The 18,020-nt window shown below is 51.7% G+C and overlaps 1 long non-coding RNA gene across 1 annotated transcript, besides 6 other annotated features; it reads right to left on the bottom strand.

Moving 5' to 3' along the window:
* Positions 1-401: 401 nt before the first annotated feature.
* LOC124903045 (uncharacterized) lies at positions 402-1,285 on the bottom strand. Its single transcript, XR_007063509.1, has 2 exons — positions 1,201-1,285; positions 402-881 (listed from the first exon to the last, which is right to left on the bottom strand). It is a non-coding gene; the product is annotated as an uncharacterized LOC124903045 (long non-coding RNA).
* Positions 8,174-8,948: an enhancer, noted in NCBI's record as "H3K4me1 hESC enhancer chr12:125219187-125219961 (GRCh37/hg19 assembly coordinates)". NCBI's record gives its function as "activates a minimal SCP1, AML or CMV promoter by ChIP-STARR-seq in primed H9 embryonic stem cells {active_cell/tissue: H9 hESC(primed)}" and the evidence as "EXISTENCE:reporter gene assay evidence [ECO:0000049][PMID:30033119]".
* Positions 8,900-9,059: a silencer, noted in NCBI's record as "fragment chr12:125219076-125219235 (GRCh37/hg19 assembly coordinates)". NCBI's record gives its function as "represses an EF-1alpha promoter that drives an FKBP-Casp9 reporter gene in an ReSE screen in phorbol 12-myristate 13-acetate-treated (for megakaryocytic differentiation) K562 erythroleukemia cells {active_cell/tissue: K562(+PMA)}" and the evidence as "EXISTENCE:reporter gene assay evidence [ECO:0000049][PMID:32094911]".
* Positions 8,900-9,723: a biological region, named in NCBI's record as "H3K4me1 hESC enhancer GRCh37_chr12:125218412-125219186".
* Positions 8,949-9,723: an enhancer, noted in NCBI's record as "H3K4me1 hESC enhancer chr12:125218412-125219186 (GRCh37/hg19 assembly coordinates)". NCBI's record gives its function as "activates a minimal SCP1, AML or CMV promoter by ChIP-STARR-seq in primed H9 embryonic stem cells {active_cell/tissue: H9 hESC(primed)}" and the evidence as "EXISTENCE:reporter gene assay evidence [ECO:0000049][PMID:30033119]".
* Positions 11,263-11,866: an enhancer, noted in NCBI's record as "H3K27ac-H3K4me1 hESC enhancer chr12:125216269-125216872 (GRCh37/hg19 assembly coordinates)". NCBI's record gives its function as "activates a minimal SCP1, AML or CMV promoter by ChIP-STARR-seq in primed H9 embryonic stem cells {active_cell/tissue: H9 hESC(primed)}" and the evidence as "EXISTENCE:reporter gene assay evidence [ECO:0000049][PMID:30033119]".
* Positions 11,867-12,471: an enhancer, noted in NCBI's record as "H3K27ac-H3K4me1 hESC enhancer chr12:125215664-125216268 (GRCh37/hg19 assembly coordinates)". NCBI's record gives its function as "activates a minimal SCP1, AML or CMV promoter by ChIP-STARR-seq in primed H9 embryonic stem cells {active_cell/tissue: H9 hESC(primed)}" and the evidence as "EXISTENCE:reporter gene assay evidence [ECO:0000049][PMID:30033119]".

Raw genomic sequence — 18,020 nt, 5'->3', positions numbered from 1 at the left:
GGGCAACAGAGCAAGACCCTGTCTCAAATAAATGAATAAATATATAAAAATTTTAAAAATGTAAAAATTATTCCTAGTGTGCAGGCTGCGAACTCTTCTCCTTTGCTACTGGCTGGATTTGTCTCATGGCTGCGTTGTAATGGCCCCTGGATGAGGCCATGGTTCTGGGGAATCAGTGGCCCTTTTCTCTTTCCTGACTTCTCTCCCTCCCTTTCTTCTCCCCTCTCTTTCTTTCCTTTTCTTTTCCCTCCCTCTTTCCTTTCTTTGTTCTCTCTTTCGTGGGATAAAAACCCTTGTTCTCACAAACCCAGGAAATATCCTGGAACTATTTTGGTGTCAAAACTCATCCTTAAAAGTAGCCCATCTCCTTTGCTTGCCATTTCTCCCCATGGCACGTAGTACAATTTGTAATTATAGATTTATTTCTTTAATTGTTTTGGGGGTATCTGTTTCCTTGTTCTGAAATAGAAACTCCATGAAGAAGGAAAGCTGGGGAGGGGGTGCGGGGTCTGGGTTTCCAGGCAATTTGGGGCTGATTTCAGCGAATGGGGGGTGGGACATGACTGTGGTGAACTTGACAAAGGGCAGGATGCTGGCCTTGCAGCTGTGTGGGCAGAGCTGGGCGGGGCTGGGGGCTGCTGGAGTCGCCTCTACACAGGCAGGCTCTGGCCACGACCCTGAGCCATGAACGGAGGAGGGAGTGGGCTCTCGTCCCTGGCCTCCCAGAGACCACAGCTTGCTAGGGCCAGCTGGCAGGTGTGATTCTGCTCCTAAAGCTGGATCTTTCCTCTGCCGGTGGAAATCCATCGCTCTCCGGCTGCTCGAGAACTCCTGGCTACAATTTGGCAAGATTCGGATCTGGCTTCTTTAGGATTAAGGAGCTGCCGGGAGTCACAAGCAGAGACACTCATGTGGGTTCCGAAGGTCCGCTCTCTGGGCACCCCAGGCTCGGAGTATTCTAAAATCCTGAGCCATCCACAGGTTCCCTAACAGGACCCTTCTGGCCACTCCAACAGACCCACTGCCCGCGTCGGGGAGGCCCACGTTTCAGGCACTGTAGACCAGCGGGGAGGAAGCGCCTGGTGGGTCTTGAGCTGAGGACATCTGGCCTGGGTGGGGAGTCCAGGCTCTGCAGCCCCACTGCATTTTCTGTGGGCTCCACCGCCCCTCGGGAGTCTGCAAAGGGTCCCAGCGACTCACCCATCTGGACGCCCTTCCTGCGGCTGCCTGTTCACCTTGGCTTATGCGTGGTGGCAGGTGGCGTCTGCGGGAGCTCCAGAGCACTGGGCCTGGTGGAGCTGCACCCCCAGCGGGTGCCCAGGGGTCAGACACACCGATCCACATAAGGACACTGTGCCCGGTGTTTACATCCAGGTTTCATTCCATTGGATGGGAGCCCAGACCATCAAGTTATTAAATATTTATATAACGTCACTCATGCCTGGGCCTCTGTGGAGCAGTGTGACTGAAATCACTGGTGTATTTTGAGATCCCCCCATCTCTCATTCAAATTCCTTATCAGGAAATTCCTTCTCATTCAAATTCCTTGTCAGGACTCCCCTTTTGTCAGAGTCGATACCATTATTGTCCCTATTCCACAGAGGGGAAACTGAGGCACAGGACTGTTAAGTGCCCAAGGTCACAAGGCTTGGTTGCAATTCATTCATTTATTTATTGATGTACCATTCAGTGAGGGTGCTGGGGGTCACAGGTGAACGAAGCAGCCCCTGCCCCTGCTCACGGGGTCTGGTAGGCAGTTGGGGGTGGGGGCACAGCAGGGGGACTTGGCTAAAGTCCAGGAGTCCAGGAAATCTGTCGAGCATGGTGTGGCCCAAGGGTTGAGCGCCCAGTCCCTGGGGGCAGCTCTGTCTGGGTCCAAATTCTGGGTCTGTCACTTACTACCCGTGCCTCAATTTCCCCACCTCTTAGCCTTTTGGTGAAGACTAAATAAGTTGTTATGTGTATCTGTAATAGATGAAACAGAGTCTGGCACATTGTAAGTGCTGTATCCGTATCACCAATGATCATGATAAATGCCAGTTGAGTACATGAACAAAAAGCAATGTTTCAGTTCAGTCTTTGAGCATCCCTGGGTGACAGTAGCTAAAGTTTAGACCATGTGGGGAACAGTGTGCCAGCTAGAGGGAACAGCATATGCAAAGGCCCGCCCCACTGCTGTACCAGGGCTCAGCGTGGATCTGTCAAGGGATGAGGCCTTTCCCTGGGGGCCCACAGAGGATAAATCAGAAAAGAACAGGCAGGTATGTCTGGGGAGGGGGGCGCAGAAGAGAGGGAGGGAGCCTGCCTTGGACCATGTGTCTCAGACGCACGTGGGAACAAGAATGGCAGTGACCTAGTCATCGGGTAAAATGATAGCTCAGTTCTGGGGACCAAGACCAGGACATGCGGGTCCTCCTGGGAGGCTTCTCTTCTGACTCCTCTCCTGGCCCCATAAAACCCTCCTTGCAGGGCCATGGCCGCCGAGCTCTTCGGCTGTGGAAAATGAGGAGGCTGCTGCCTCCTCCAGGTGTGTGGAGGGAGCCGCTGTGACTTTCATCTGACAGCGAGCTGCTTCCTGACCAGAAATGACTCAGAAAGATTTGTCGGCAGAGTGCTGCAGCTGCTGTCCCGGGATCAACTGGGAAGCGCTGGATCTGGGTGGCAGGGCCACTCACTGCCCATGGAACTCAGGCTTTCTCCAGGACTTCTGTCTGGGTCGCCTCTCTCTGAGGAAGCCGCCACCCCCAGAGGGAAATGACTGGCCTGCCATTCACCCCTGGGAAATCCTGCCAAGGCTTCTCTCTGCCCTCTTGTTCTCGTGATGGCCACTGAGGGAGGGCATGTAGGAGGGTGTTTATTCCATCAGCAAATTGTTATTCAATCAACACACATTTTCTCAGTGCCTCCTTTGCTAGGTGCTGATGAGACAAAGTTATAGGAGGTGTTGTCTTTACTCTCAAGATTTCAGCCTCATGTGAGAGACACATGCAAGCTGGTAATTTCTCACGGTGAAATCTTTATGGGTTGGGAGTTAATTCAGCCAGGCTCTCTGTTTGCAAAAGGTAAAACAAAACAAAGCAAAACAAAAGCCTCCAACTAGCTTAGGGGAAAAAAGGAAATTTAATCATCATGATATAACTGAAAAGTTAAGTACATACCTTCAGGTACAGCTTGATCCGGGGGCTCAAAATATTCACCAGGATTTACTTCCTCTCCATCTTGGCACCCTGCCTGCTATGGTTCTGATTGCTATGGTGGGCAAAATAACCACCCCCAAAGATGTCCATGTCCTAATCCCAGGAAACATGTGAATATGTTAGCTGACATGGCAAAAGGGACCTTGCAGATCTAATGACGTTACACGTCTTGAGATGGGGGGATTCTCCTGGATTATCATAAGGGTGATGTAATCACAAGGTTCCTTATCAGTGAAAGAGGAGCATGAGTCAGAGAGAGGAGTTGTGACTGCAGAGGCAGAGGCAGAGGCAGGAGTGATGGCTTTGCTGGAAGGGGCCATGAGCCTAGGAGTGCGGGCAGCCTCTAGAAGCTGGAAAAGGCAGAGAATGGATGCTCCCCTGCAATTTCCAGAAGGAACACAGCCTTGCCAACATCTTGCTTTTAGTCCAGTGAGGCCCGCTGTGGCCTTCTGACCTCTAGAACTGTAAAATAATACACTTGTGTTGTGTTAACTCACATCTCCCTTGGTTCCAGTCTAGGGGGAGATGGAATATTTCCTCCCTGGTAACTCTGGCACAATTACCTAGCCCTCCCTCTGATGGGACCAGCTCGGGTCGCATGCCCGTCTCTGAGCCAGTCACCTGGCTAGCAGTGCTCTGACTGGCCAGGCCTGGGGCACAGGCTCTGCCCTTTCAGGGGGTGGAGGCCACCTGACTGTCCTGGACTGCGTGGAGGAAATTCAGAGTGATGCCCCCATTGAAAAGGGGAATGAGGCTGCATGCAGTGGCGCACGCCTGTGATCTCAGCACTTTAGCAGGCCAGTGTGGGAGGATTGCTTGAGCCCAAGAGTTCCAGGCTGAGGTGAGCTATGATTGCATGACCGCACTCCAGCCTGGGCAACAGAGCGGGACCCTGTCTCTTAAAAAAGAGAAATGAATGCGGTGTACCCCAAAACAGTACCTGCTCTCTACAGCAGGGGAGGGAGAACTCTCACCTGGCCCTGAGGAAGGAGGGAAGAGCACTGGGGGGCATGAGGAGACCTGAATTTTATTCGCCATTTCCGGTCTCATTCATGGGCTGTGTGACCTTGCGTAGGTGGTGCAACCTCTCTGGCCCTCCATTTCCGCACCCGTAAAATGGGGCTGATAGTCACGGCCTTGCATCTTCCTGGGCTGGGATCATTCTTGAGCGACAGGCTGGCTTGGAACGAGCCCCGTTGCCGTGCAGCTAGCCCGGGGCTCCCGGAGGGTGGGCGTTTTCATGCCTGGGCAGCCTCTCGTTTGTTTTCTCAGTGGTTTTGCTTTATCGGGGCGTTAAATGGAATCTTCGTCCTGTGACTCAGACTTCAAAAGAGACGCGTGACCTCCTGGGTTAAGCTGCCTGGGGCTGCTGGTGCCGGGTGAGAAGGCAACGCGGCGCCTTCCGTGTGTGGTCCCGGGGCCCCCAACCCAGGCCGCCTGCTTCTCTTGCTGACCCTGGCCACCGCCATCTCCATTTGTCGGGGTTTCTGTCGGAGTAGGAGCACTGGAGCTTTGACCCGTTTGTTGAGAAGGAAGGGGCTTCTCGGCCAGCTCGCCTTCCAGTTTGGTTCAGAGCAGGTGCCCAGGGTCACATGACACATTAATCAGGACTGACTGGCTGCAAATGGCAGAAAGTCAAATCAGGTGGGTGCGAAGCCCAGCTCCACTACCTATTAGCTGTGTGACCCTGGGCAAGTTACTTAACCTCTCTGAGCCTTGGTTTCTTAATCTGTAAAATGGCGATGATAATAGTATTTACTGCACAGGGTTGTTCTGAGGATGAAATAAGTTGATAGAAAGTGCTAGAACACATCTGGCACGTAGCAATGCTCCAGAAACGTCAGATCTTATTACTCATTGGCCTCTCCTCATAGTGAGGTGGGAGCAGGTACGCGGGGTGTCTGATTACACTTTGGATAGAAAAGGCCTTCCTGTCATCTCGCCTGTCTCGTCTTCCCACAGCAGCGGGAAACAGCCGGGGCCTGGCCAGCATGTGGTCCTGAGCAGGGGCCTGGGGACGGCCTCGGACCCTTGGGAGGTACAGGGGAAGGCCACCTTGCTGTTGGGTGGCAGCCAGGGAAGGGTTAGTGACAGCTCATGTCCTGGAACTTTCTGTGGAAGCTGGATCTAGAGTAGAGAGTTTGTGAGATGACCCTGGCCGCACACTGGTTACCAGACAACTTCATTCCCACACATCCCGGGAGTGGGGTGTCATCCTCCCAACCACCCTCATGCTAACTTCCTGCCCATGGGAAATGGGCCTCCGAGTGGCTAGCTGGCTCCCTTCATTGCCTCCATTTAGCCTTCACCATGATCTTTGAGGTGTTACTGTTCCCATTGTACAGATGGGGAAACTGAGGCCCAGAGAAGTGAAGTCACTTGCCCAAGGGCACACAGCTAGGAAATGGCAAGGCTGAGGCCTGCTTGGCTTCTTGGCCTTAGCTGGGAATTCTGATGCAGTTTGGCTTCCTGTGCTATCACTATTGACCTTGAGGTTGGCTAGGAATCCACCTAGTCACTGCGCAGATGCAGAGCCAGGCTCTCTGCAGCCCAGGGCTCTGACTTGGACGAGGGCACCAGAAAAATGGGATTTTCCTTCTGCATGGCCCATGTTAGAGGTTAGGGTTAGGGATTTATCCCCAGCTCTCCTGGCAAATTAAACCGCATCTATGCTCAGTGTGCTGCTGGGGACTGCGGTGAGTTCAAGGGCATCTGGATGGGCGCTGGTCAGGGAAGGGGCGTTTGAGCAAAGCTTTGGGAGGTGGGTAAGAAGTGGCTTTGAAGAACTGACCGGATTGGTTAGCATGCCTCAGCTATAGGTAACAGAAAACCCAGCACACTATGGCGTAGATGACAAGGCCATTTAACTTAAGAAGTCCGGAGGTATGAGTTCCCCGGTGTGGCTCAGCCCCTCAGTGATGCTATCGAAGACCAGGCCATTCAGTGCGTATCACGCTGCCATCTCTCTTGTCTCAGGGTTCCAATATGGCTGCAGCTGCTCCAGACATCAGTTATTTACACTGCAACCTCTCAAACTGGAAGAAAGGGGCTGGGTGGGGAGAGAGGAGGTCTTCTCTGTGTGTTTCTCTTATATCAGGAAGCAAAATCTTTCCCTGAGTTCCCAGCAGACTTCCTTTGATGCCTCCTTGGTCAGAAGTGAGTCACATGACCACACCGAGGCCCGTCGCTGGCACAGCAGTGCAGAACGATCATCCAGCTGTCTCACCGCAGGGCTGGACCTGGGGCTGCCCCTGTAAAATCGGGAGCATGGACAGTGGTGTCCGGGCCGTGTCTGTTCATGGACAGGCACTCATTGAGCACTTACTGTGTGCCATTCACCCTTATTACTGCCATATCAAAAGAAAGATCAAAATGAAATGTTTTGGAGGCCTCTTGTTTAACTCTCACATTTTACCAAAGGGAAAACTGAGGCCTGGGGTGGCTTGGCGACTTCATAAGTCACCCAGTGGGTTAGTGGCAGAATGCTTGCCTGTCTGTTCACTGTTGTACCCCAGTCCCTGGAGCAGTGGCTGGCACTCAGGAGGACCTCAGTAAGTGGTGGATGGGTGGGTGAATGTGTGGGTAAGTGGGTGGGTAAGTGCGTGGATAGGTGCGTGGGTGGGTGGGTGCATGGGTGTGTAGGTGTGCAGGTGGGTGCATGCGTGGCGGGTGTGTGGGTGCGTGGGTGGGTACGTGCGTGGGTGGGTGGGTGCATGGATGGATGCATGCGTGGGTGCGTGCGTGGGTGCGTGGGTGGCCGGGTGCATGCATGGGTGTGTGCGTGGCTGCGTGGGTGCATGGGTGGGTGGGTGCGCGGGTGCGTGGGTAGGTGTGTGGGTGCGTAGGTGGATGCGTGGGTGGGTGGGTGGATGGATAAATGTTCTCAAGGAGCTGCTGGGTGGAGACAGGAGTCAGAAATTGTGGTGGTAACCACAGCACCACACTTGTCTAACTATCTGACTTCCATCCCTCCTGCTGCGAGCTTAGCTCTTTGTGGGTACACCTTCATGGCAGGGCAGAGGGGAGCTGGTCGCCACCCTTTTTGTGGTCTGTTTCTTTAAACAAAGTCCCACTTCCACTTCTGGGGAGCTTGCAAAGCCCTGTCCCGGGTGGCCCTGGCGGGCAAGTTGGGCGGGTGGGCCTCAGCCCCCAGGAGGTATTGAGAGGCCCAGGGAGAGGGAAACCCTGGGCACAGTCCCAGGGAGAGCTACGCCAGGAGGCAGCAGCGGGGAGGGCTGGGCAGTGGGGTGGGAAGCATTTGGGGGTTCTGTTTTCAGTTCCTGTCACTGCCCTAAGCTCCCCTCACATCTGGGGGAGCCTTGAGAGATGATGGGGGGCCCTGGAGCTCCTTGCAGAGCCCTAGGCACTACGGGTGCTCTTAGGTTCTAACAAGAGCTGGGCTTCTCAAAACTGCACACAGCTCAACCAAGAATTTTGCTAAAATGCAGGTTCTGCTGCAGCAGACCTAGGGTGGGGCCTGAGACTGCGTTTCCAACATGCTCCCAGAGTATCTGGGGCTGCTGATCCATGGAGGACACTTTGAGTAACACGAGTTTAGAGCAATGCTTGCAAATTGTTTTATTTTATTTTATATTATATTTTATTTTATTTTAATTTTTTGAGATGGAGTCTCATTCTGTCGTCCAGGCTAGAGTAGAGTGGCATGATCTTGGCTCACTACAACCTCTGCCTCCCAGGTTCAAGCAATCCTCCCACCTCAGCCACCCAAGTAGCTGGGATTATAGACATGTGCCACCATGCCTGGCTAATTTTTGTATTTTTAGTAGTGACAAGGTTTCACCATGTTGGCCAGGCTGGTCTCGAACTCCTGACCTCAAGTGATCCGTCCACCTTGGCCTTCCAAAGTGCTGGGATTACAGGCGTAAGCCACTGCTCCTGGCCTGTTTGCAAATATTTTAAAACACAACCCCTGGTAAGAAGTACATCTTGTAACCCTGCACACATACATGCGTGTGTACACGCACACACACACACACACACACACACACACACACAAACGAAACTATAATAAAAGCTTCAGGAACTTGCTCCCTGGTTTGCCAAGGGTCGCATGGCATACTAATCAGGACTTACTGGTTGCAAGTGACAGAAAGTCAAATCAAGGGGGTTCAAATCTCAGCTCTACCGCTTCCTAGCTGTGTGACCTTAGGCAAGTCACTTAACCTCTCTGAGCACTAGTTTTTTAATCTGTAAAATAGAGGCCACCTTCTGTGGGCAGCTGGATTTCTTTTCTATTTACCGGCAGCAGCCATTGGGAATTCCCCAAGGGCCCTGTGCTGCTGGGGGAATGGATTTTCTATCCCACCCAACTGAGTCTAGTCCTGACTCCTCCGCCCTTGGGCCTTCCATCTTCTGGTTCTGTGAAGTGGCAGCTGCCGGCCACCTCCCAGGCCCTCCTGAGGCTCCTGAGTCTGGCCTTCTCCTGGCTTGTCCCTGCTTTCATTTGAGCCTTTCCCGAATCACCTGATTGCATCTACTTCATGCAGGGTGAGGACTTCGCAATTTGTGCTGTAAATTGCCCAGTGGAGGGTTCTGCTCAGACAGTGGACACCACCCTGGGGAACTCTGGGAGATCCCTGGACTGGCCCCCTCTGGGTTTAGCATCTGCACCAGGCCAAGCCTCCCCAAAAGCTTTGTCCTCTGTGGTAGGCAGAATCCTGCAATGTCCCCTAAGCCCCTCTCCCCTGGTGTCCACGCCTGGGATAATCCCTCCCTTGAGTGAGAACGCGATGGGATAGTTGTTGCCTGGATCAGGTTACGACATGTGACAAAAAAGTGATGGTGTAGTCTCTCCCATGACCGCATGACACCATGGGGAAGTTGCAGTAGCAGAGGAGCTCCCGGCGGCTTTGAAGAAGTCAGCTCCTGCGCTGCAAGCGGAGGCCTGAGAGCCGAGAGCCAGCCCTGGTGACAACCAGCCGGAAAGCGGGGCTCCCACGCCCCCCGCAGGCTGCCTCCCTATACCTGACTCTGAAAAGGAACGCTGGCCAGGAGCGGTGGCTCGCGTCTGTAATCCCAGCACTTTGGGAGGCCGAGGCGGGCTTATCACTTGAGCCCAGGAGTTCAAGACCAGCCTGGGCAATGTAGTGAGAGCCCGTCTCTACAAAAAATACAAAAAGTAGCCAGGCATGGTGGCGCACACCTGTGATCCCAGCTATTCGAGAGGCGGAGGTAGGAGGATCTCTTGAGCCCAAGAGCTCGAGGCTGCAGTGAACTGAGGTCACACCACTGCACTCCAGTCTGAGGGACAGAGGGAGATCTTGTCTCAAAAATAAAAAGAAGGCTGGGCGCGGTGGCTCACACCTGTAATCCCAGCACTGTGGGAGGCCAAGGCAGGTGGATTACCTGAGGTCAGGAGTTCAAGACCAGCCTGGCCAACATGGTGAAACCCCATCTCTACTAAAAATACAAAAATTAGTTGGGTGTGGTGGCACATGCCTGTAATCCCAGCTACTCGGGAAGCTGAGGCAGGAGAATTGTTTGAGCCCAGGAGGCCGAAGTTGCAGTGAGCCGAGATCGTGCCACTGCACTCCAGCCTGGCCGACAGAGTAAGACTCTGTCTCAAAATAAATAAAATAAAATAAAATAAAATAAAATAAAATAAAATAGGAATGCTTCCAAAGAGCCCTGCCTGACACCTCTGCTTGTCACTCATTGATGACCTGTGTCTGCAGGGGAGGGTGGCAAGGGCACTCTTCAGTGGGGCACATTGTCACCCCTGAAAACATCAAAGGTTGGAGCCAAACTCCTGAGCCAAAGACAGCTTCTGGCCGGGTACAGTGGCTCACGCCTGTAATCTCAGTGCTTTGGGAGGCCGAGGTGGGAAGATTGCTTGAGGCCAGGAGTTCGAGACCAGCTTGGGCAACATAGCAAGACCCCATCTCTATTTTTTAAAAAACAAAAACCTAAGAACAGCTTCTTAACTGCTCTGTCTCCAGGATTTCTGGAAAAAAAATAAAAATTCCCAAGCAAAGCCTAAGGTGTACTCTTGGTATGCTTGGACTTAATACCAAATCCATATGGAGCCAAGCACAGCCAGACCCTCCAGCCACATCTGCCCACACAACCTCAGGTGCCCAGCGCCTCGCCGGCCACTCAGCCCTTCCTGTTCCTGGAGCCCACCTGGTTCCTTCCCACTTCAAGGTTTCTGTGCTTGGTGTTCCTCCGTCTGAATGCACTTCCCTGCCGTCTTTGCAGAGCTGGCTTCTCGTCCAGTTTTCAGCTCAAGGTCAGCTGCTCAGAGAAGCCTTCTCTGACCTTCAGGTAGACAAGCCAAACTCTGAGCAGCACGAAGCTTTCTCTGCCGTTGCTGCGTTTGTTTGCTTTCTTGTTGACTGTCTGTCCTTCCCCAGGAGGCTGCCAGGCCTAGTGGAGGGAGCTTGTTCCCGACCACCTTCTGGGAACTCAGAGAAGGCTCAGGCACATGGTGGGCTGAACGAAGGAAGGTGATCACAGACTGTGCATCGCTCCTCCCCGGCTGAGGGGGGGTGATGGGAGGGGACCGCCTTCATTCCATTGTTTCTAAGTCGCCCTTCATCTTCAGAGCTGCGTTCAGGAATTGCTAAGATGTTTCCCCCAGGGAAGTGAAAAAAAGCTTTTTAAAAGAGAGGGAGAGAGAGAGTGAGAGAGCACGCTCAGACTGAATGTCAGTGGCTGCCTGGGCTGCGGCCAGTGGTAAGGTCAATTTGAGTGGCCCCTGGCCCCAGCTCCATACCTGATGTCTCAGTGGAGTGTGGGGAACAGAGGCCTGGGACCCCCGCTCAGAAGCCTCACGGGTAGGGCTCCTGGAGGTCACCCCTTGTTCCCACGTGTGACCCTCATTGGGTCCCCTTGGGGCCTAGAGGACATTTGGGAACTGAGACCTGGTGTTTGGGACGAGGCTGCCTGGCCCATCTCTCAGCTTTTGCCGTGTCACTTTGGGTGAATTCTCAGGCCAGCAAGCCAGACATTCCTGAGATAGCCACCAATTCCGTTAAACAACAATCTGTGAGCCAGGCAGGCCCTGGTGGTCAGCTATTTAGCAACCATTCCCTTCTTTTCCTCTCAAATGGTCTGGATTTTATTTAGGGGGTGAGTCTCCCTGTCCCAGGGAATTGATTGTGATAGATCTAAGGGAATCCTGTTTCTTCTTGGTCTAGGGTGGGCATGAGACCAAGCTCTAGCAAGCAAAATGTTAGGGAAACTCGGCTGGGGGCAGATTTTAATAAGAGAGAAACGAGAAGAAAGTGCCTCTTGCTGCCTCTCTTCCTTCCTGCTTGGCTCACTGGGTGAGGGTGAGGGTGTGTTGTCTGGAGCCACAGCAGCCACTTTATGACTATGAGGGAAAACAGGGCTGACCCACTGAGAATGGTGGAGCAGAAAGCTGGGAAGCTCCTAGGTTCTTGATGATTTTATGGGGTCAAAATCATCCTGAAACTGCCTTTCCCTAGGCCTTCTGTTACATGAGTGTCTTAGTTCAGGCTGCTGTTATACCAGCAGTCCCCAGCCTTTTTGGCACCACAGACCAGTTCTGTGGAAGACAATTTTTCCACGGCCTGTCGGTGGGGAGGATGGTTTCAGGATGAAACTTCCACTTCAGACCACCAGGCATTAGATTCTCATAAGGAGCAGTCAACCTACATCCCTCGCATGCGCAGTTCACAATAGGGTTTGTGCGTCTATGAGAATCTAACGCCGCCACTGATCTGAGAGGAGGCGGTAATGCTCGCTCGCCCGCTGCTCACCTCCTGCTGTGCGACCCAGCTCCTAACAGGCCATGGACTGGTATTGGTCTACGGCCCAGGGGTTGGTGACCCTTGTGTTATACAATATCATAGACTGGTGGCTTATGAACAACAGAACTTTATTGCTCAGGCTGGGTGCGGCGGCTCATGCCTGTAATCCCAGCACTTTGAGAGGCCAAGGTGGGCAAATCGCTTGAGCTCGGGAGTTTGAGACCAGGTTGGGCAACGTGGTGAAACCTTGTCTCTACAAAAAATGCAAAAAATATTAGCTGGGCACGGTGGTGCACACCTGTAGTCCCAGCTACTTGGGAGACTGAGGTAGGAGGATTGTTTGGGCTTGGGAGGTCAAGGCTGTAGTGAGCTGTGGTCATGCCACTGCATTCCAGCCTGGGCAATAGAGTGAGACCTTGTCTCAAAATTTTTTTTTTTTTGTCACCCAGGCTGTAGGACAGTGGCATGATCTTGGTTCACTGCAACCCCAGCCTCCCCAGGTCAAGCGATTCTCCTGCCTCAGCCTCCTGAGTAGCTGGGATTACAAGCATGTGCCACCATGCCTGCCTCATTTTTTTGTAGTTTTAGTAGAGATGGGGTTTCACCATGTTGGCCAGGCTCGTCTCAAACTCCTGACCTCAGGTGATCCACCCTCCTTGGCCTCCCACAGTGCTGGGATTACAGGTGTGAGCCACCGTGCCCAGCCAACCAGCTAGTTCTTAAAAAGTCATTTACTCAGGGGAGCCTGCCCTGATTCTCTCTCCACAAGAACAGGTCACGCTTTTCTGCCTCACAGTTTCCTGGCCTCTCATGCACTGAAAGGCCCTGTAACCCCACAGCTGTTAAATGTCAGTCTCACCCCTGAACCTGGACATACCAGAGGAGCAGCGACTATGCTTGTTTTTGCTCCTGGCACAGTGCCCAGTGCTTCATGGGTCCTCAACAAATATTTGTTGAAAGCATGAATGAATATTCCGAACCTTAGAGATCTCACAGTCCAAAATCAAAATGCAATACTCCAGCAGCAGCTAGCATGACTGAAATGAAAAAGACTGATGCCCTCCAGCACTGGGAGAATTCAGAGGGCCTGGAACTCACACACAGCTGGAGGGAATGTGAAATCACATAACTACACTGGAAAACAGTTTGGCAGCTTCTTAAGTTAATCATACACTTCCAGTATGACCCAGTGATCCCACTCCAGGTATTCACCCAAGAGAAATGACAGCGTCTGTCTACACAGAGACTTGTACACAAATGTTCATTGCTGCTTTCTTGTCATAGCCAAAAACTGGAAATAAACCAACAGCCCATGAGCAGGCGAGTGGGTCAGCACACGGTGGTATATCCTTACAATGAACTATTGATGTGCATGACAACATAAATAATATGGTCTGGCTGTGTCCTCACCCAAATCTTATCTTGAATTGTAGCTCCCATAATTTACACAGGTTGTGGGAGGGACCCGGTGGGAGAGAATTGAATTGTGGGGCAGTTTTCCCCATGCTATTCTTTTGGTAGTGAATAAGTCTCATGAGATCTGATGGTTTATAAGGGGTTTCCCTTTTTGCTTGGTTCTCTTTCTCTCTTGTCTGCCACCATGTAAGATGTGCCTTTCACCTTCTGCCATGATTGTGAGGCCTCCCCAGCCTCATGGAACTGTGAGTCCATTAAACCTCTTTTTCTTTATAAATTACCCAGTCTCAGGTATGTCTTTATCAGCAGCGTGAAAATGGACTAATACAATAAATGACTCTGAAAATACCTACGCTGAGTGAGAGAAGAGCTGGGCAAGAAAAGAGGACATTTTGGGAATGAACTGGGGGCGGGGACAGAGGATTCAGAGTGGAAGTCCTAGTTATTACAAAGCCCCACGAGGTCGTGGGGTCTGGCCCTGAGACTGTTCTGGTTTCCTTTCCTATCTCTTCTCCCAACCTCTGTCCACTCCAGCCCGCTCGGCCTCTGCTCTGCTTCCTGAGTACACCAGGCATGCTTCTACCTCAGGGCCTTCACACTGGCTGTTCCCTCTGCCTGGGACCCTCTTCCACCAGACCCAAACGTGGCACAGATCTCCACTGCCTTCAAGTCTGCCAAACATCACCTCTTCCGAGAGGCCTATCCAAATCTCTTCTCTAGCTAAAAGCACTCCCAACCTGCCTTTAGTTTCTGTGTTCTTTCTTGGCATTTACTATCAGGTGGATGTATGCATGCACACCTACCCCCAATATGGACGTGTCTCAAAATAATTTGCTAAATGAAAGAAGCCAGTCAAGGAAAGAGGACCTACTGTGAGATTCTGCTGACATGAAATGATGCCATTTACACATAGTTTCATTGTCTCCTCCATTTATTTCATTAATTAATTTATTTTTTGGAGATGGAGTTTTGCTCTGTTGCCCAGGCTGGAGTGCAGTGGCACAATCTCGGCTCACTGCAACCTCCACCTCCCAGGTTCAAGCGAGTCTCCTGCCTCAGCCTCCAGAGTAATTGGGATTACAGGCGCCCGCCACCACACCCGGCTAATTTTTGTATTTTTAGTAGAGACGGGGTTTCACCATGTTGGCCAGGCTGGTCTTGAATTCCTGGCCTCATGTGATCCGCCAGACTCTGCCTCCCAAAGTGCTGGGATTACAGGCATGAGCCACCGCGCCCGGCCTGTCTCCTCCATTTAAAACGGCATTGGCCAAAATAATAGCCACTGGTCACGTGTGGCTATCAGGCACTTGAAATGTGGCTATCAGGACGGAGGAACTGAATTTTATGTCTTCATATCTTTGTTTTAATTAGTTTAAATTAAAAATTAAAAACCGAAGCAGTTTTGCCAGTGTGGATGTGAATATTAAAGGAAGATGATTTTTTGATACTCAGTTCTTGGAGACTTTTAAGTCTCTATGGAACAACTTCAGTAGATTAATGTACCTTTTCAACTGTCAGTTTTATGGAATCAAAATGCAGATCAAATATTTCCGATGAGAATTTAGTGTCCACATTGAGATGGGCTCTAAGTGTGGAATACACAGTGGGTTTCAGAATGTTAGGATGAAACAAATGCATGTAAATAGCTCACAGATTAATTTTTTATGTGGTGTGCATGCTGAAATGATAATATTTTGGATCAATTAGATTAAATTAAAATTAATCTCTTTTTTCATTTTTTATTTTTATTTATTTATTATTTTCAAGACAGAGTCTTGCTCTGTTGCCCAGGCTGGAGGGTGGCAGCATGATCAAGGCTCACTGTAGCCTCAACCTCCCAGGCTCAAAGGATCCTCCTGTCTCAGCCTCCCAAGTAGCTGGGACTACAGGTGCAGGTGTCACCATGCCCTGATAACTTTTAAAATTTTTTTGTAGAAATGGGGTCTCATTGTGTTTCCCAGGCTGGTCTTGAACTCCTGGGCTCAAGTAACCCTCCCGCGTCGGCCTCCCAAAGTGTCGGGATTACAGGCGTGAGCCAAGGAGCCCAGTCACATTTTTTTCCCTTTTTTTTTTTTCTTTTTTAACGTGGCTACTAGGAAATGTTAAATTCTACCTGTGGGTGGCATTATGTTTCTACTAGACAGGCTGCCCTGGAGCATCAACTCAATGAGGACAGGGAGTGATCGGCTCAGCTTCCTTCTTTTTATTTATTTATTTGAGACAGTCTCATTCTGTCACCCAGGCTGGAGTACAGTGGCACGATCTAGGCTCACTGCAACCAACCTCCGCCTCCCAGGCTCAAGCGATTCTCCTGCCTCAGCCCCCTGAGTAGCTGGGGTTACAGGCGCCCGCCACCATGCCCGGCTAATTTTTGTATTTTTAGTAGAGACAGGGTTTCACCATGTTGGCCAGGCAGGTCTCGAACTCCTGACCTCATGATCTGCCCACCTCGGCCTCCCAAAGTTCTGGGATGACAGGTGTGAGCCACTGCGCCTGGCCTCAGCTCCCTTTTTTAGTGTCAGCATCTAGAACCCGGCCTACTGTGTGCCCTGGGAGTCTTGGTTCTTCCCAGTGGAAAGGACTGTCTTTAATTTGCTGACCGTGGGCATCTGGCCTTGTAACCAGGCCACTCCCAGCCTACGGGCAGAACGGAGCTGCTGGGAGGACACAGGCAGGGTGACTCAGTTCCCGTGCTGGAAAGAGGAACTTGGGTGTCTGCTCCGGACCTTGTCATCTCTGCCCCGGAGTGGCTCCTACCAGGTGGCGCTGGCCAAGCGCCTTTCTTTCCCCTGCCCGCCCCAGGGCCGGTTGCTGAACCTCCTCCCTGTTGGCTGCGGAAATGGTTTGCATCATTTTTGTGCCTGAGGCCTGGGGGCGTGTGAAGTTCAGATCCACTGGAAGGCAATCAGCCTTTGTCCTTGTTCATGAAACACGAATCAATACCGCATTGATCGAAAGTAGACTGGGCTTCCTCTCCAAATGCCTCCGAGCAGGAATTGCTATACCCGAGGTGGAGCAGGGAGAGAGAAAAGCTGGGACACTGGCTGGATGAGGATTTGTGCTTATTGGCTTTTTTTGTTTTTAACAGGCTAAAACTTGTGGTTTACTGCAATATATACATCACAGAAAATTTACCATTTTAGCCATTTTTAAATGTACAATTTGGCAGCACGAAGCACACTCACATTGTTGTGCAACCATCACCACCATCCATTTCCAGAACTTTTTCATCCTCTCAACTCACTGGCGTTTAAGACTTGGGGGAAGCCGGGGTGGGGTGGGGGTGGGTTCTGGTGGGGGAGGGGCTGACACTAGGGGATCATGGGAGAATCCGGGCGACCCAGCATGCACTGGGTTTCTTCCGGGGCATCTATCTGGGTGCAAGACTTCAGGAAAAGCAGGAACAGTCACATGTGGATAACTCCAGCTTGGCTTCATACAGGGGCCATTTTCAAAAGTGTGGGCAGGAATAGAGGAACCCTGGGCTGGAAATGGAGGTGATGCCACCACCCCTGGGCTGGAAGGGAGGAGGGAAGGGATAGTTCCAGAAAGCCAGGAGGAGAGGGAATGTAGCAGGAGCTGTATGGAGAGGAGAGGGGCCCTTGAGTGGCCTGAGGGAGCCCTTGACCTCACTCATGTCCTGCCGGGCTACCCCGTGCCAAGTCCAACCAGAGGCAGAGAGCAGTGGGCTGTGGAAGTGGTTAAGGTGGGTCAGCTTCAGGGGCAGAGGGCCAGTGGAGAAAGGAAGAGAGAGATCTCTCGGACAAACAGAAGATGCCAGCACACAGGGTCTGATTCGTTTCTTGGTATAGTGAGCACCTGAGTCTGTCTCCATAGCCTCTGCTCCTCCTCCTTCGGGCAAAATGTCCTGATTTCCATGGGGGATCCAACCTTCCGCTCTTGGTCCAGAGACGGTGCACCCAACTCCAGGCCAGTGATTTGGATCTGAGCCAACTGGCTTACTGCTGTCCCCATATGGTTTAAGATGGCCAATCAAGGTTGATCTTGGAGCATTTGCTGTATGTAGTACCCTGAAGGAACATCTCTTTCCTGCTGGACTCAGGCCTGGGGGATGTGGCATAAAGCTCCTGGTAGCCGTCTTGCCACCATGTGACGTCTATTAATAAAACCAACATGGAGGAGAGGGCAGGCCAGAGAGAGAAGGAGATACCCAAGCCTGATGACATTAGCCAAGCCCCTGGATCCAGCTATGCCTGAAGCTGATGCTATTCCTAGAATTTAAATTGCTTCAGCCAATAAACCTCCCTATTTGCTTAAACCCATTTAATTTGCACTGACTTGCAGGAAAGATTCCTCACATTATCAGTTTTTCCTTTTTTTTTCTTTCATTTTAAGCAAGCTATAGTCTAGTTCTGGCATTCTCAGGGATTTTTTAAAAGTTCAGCAAGAATGCTGAATAAGCAGCAGATGTGGATAGCAGCAAGCCGTCTTCTGCTTCTGATCTTTCGGGTCAGCATTATTTTACTATCGAGCCAAGCAATGGGTCTGGAGAGGGTGGAGGTCCACCAGGGCCTGTCCTGCTGAGCTGAATGCGGCAAAGTGAAGGTGAGTGCTGTTCACCTCCGTCCTGGCATCTGGTGCCCCAGAGGAGGTGGTCTGCTTCTCATTTTTCACAGGGGCCTGAACAACCTGCACCCTTCACTGAGTCTCA

This window comes from Homo sapiens, chromosome 12 (genome assembly GCF_000001405.40).
Source record: "Homo sapiens chromosome 12, GRCh38.p14 Primary Assembly".
Taxonomy (NCBI): Eukaryota; Metazoa; Chordata; class Mammalia; order Primates; family Hominidae; genus Homo; species Homo sapiens.
The sequence above is the reverse complement of the archived record's forward strand: the minus strand, read 5'-3'. Positions and strand labels throughout refer to the sequence as shown.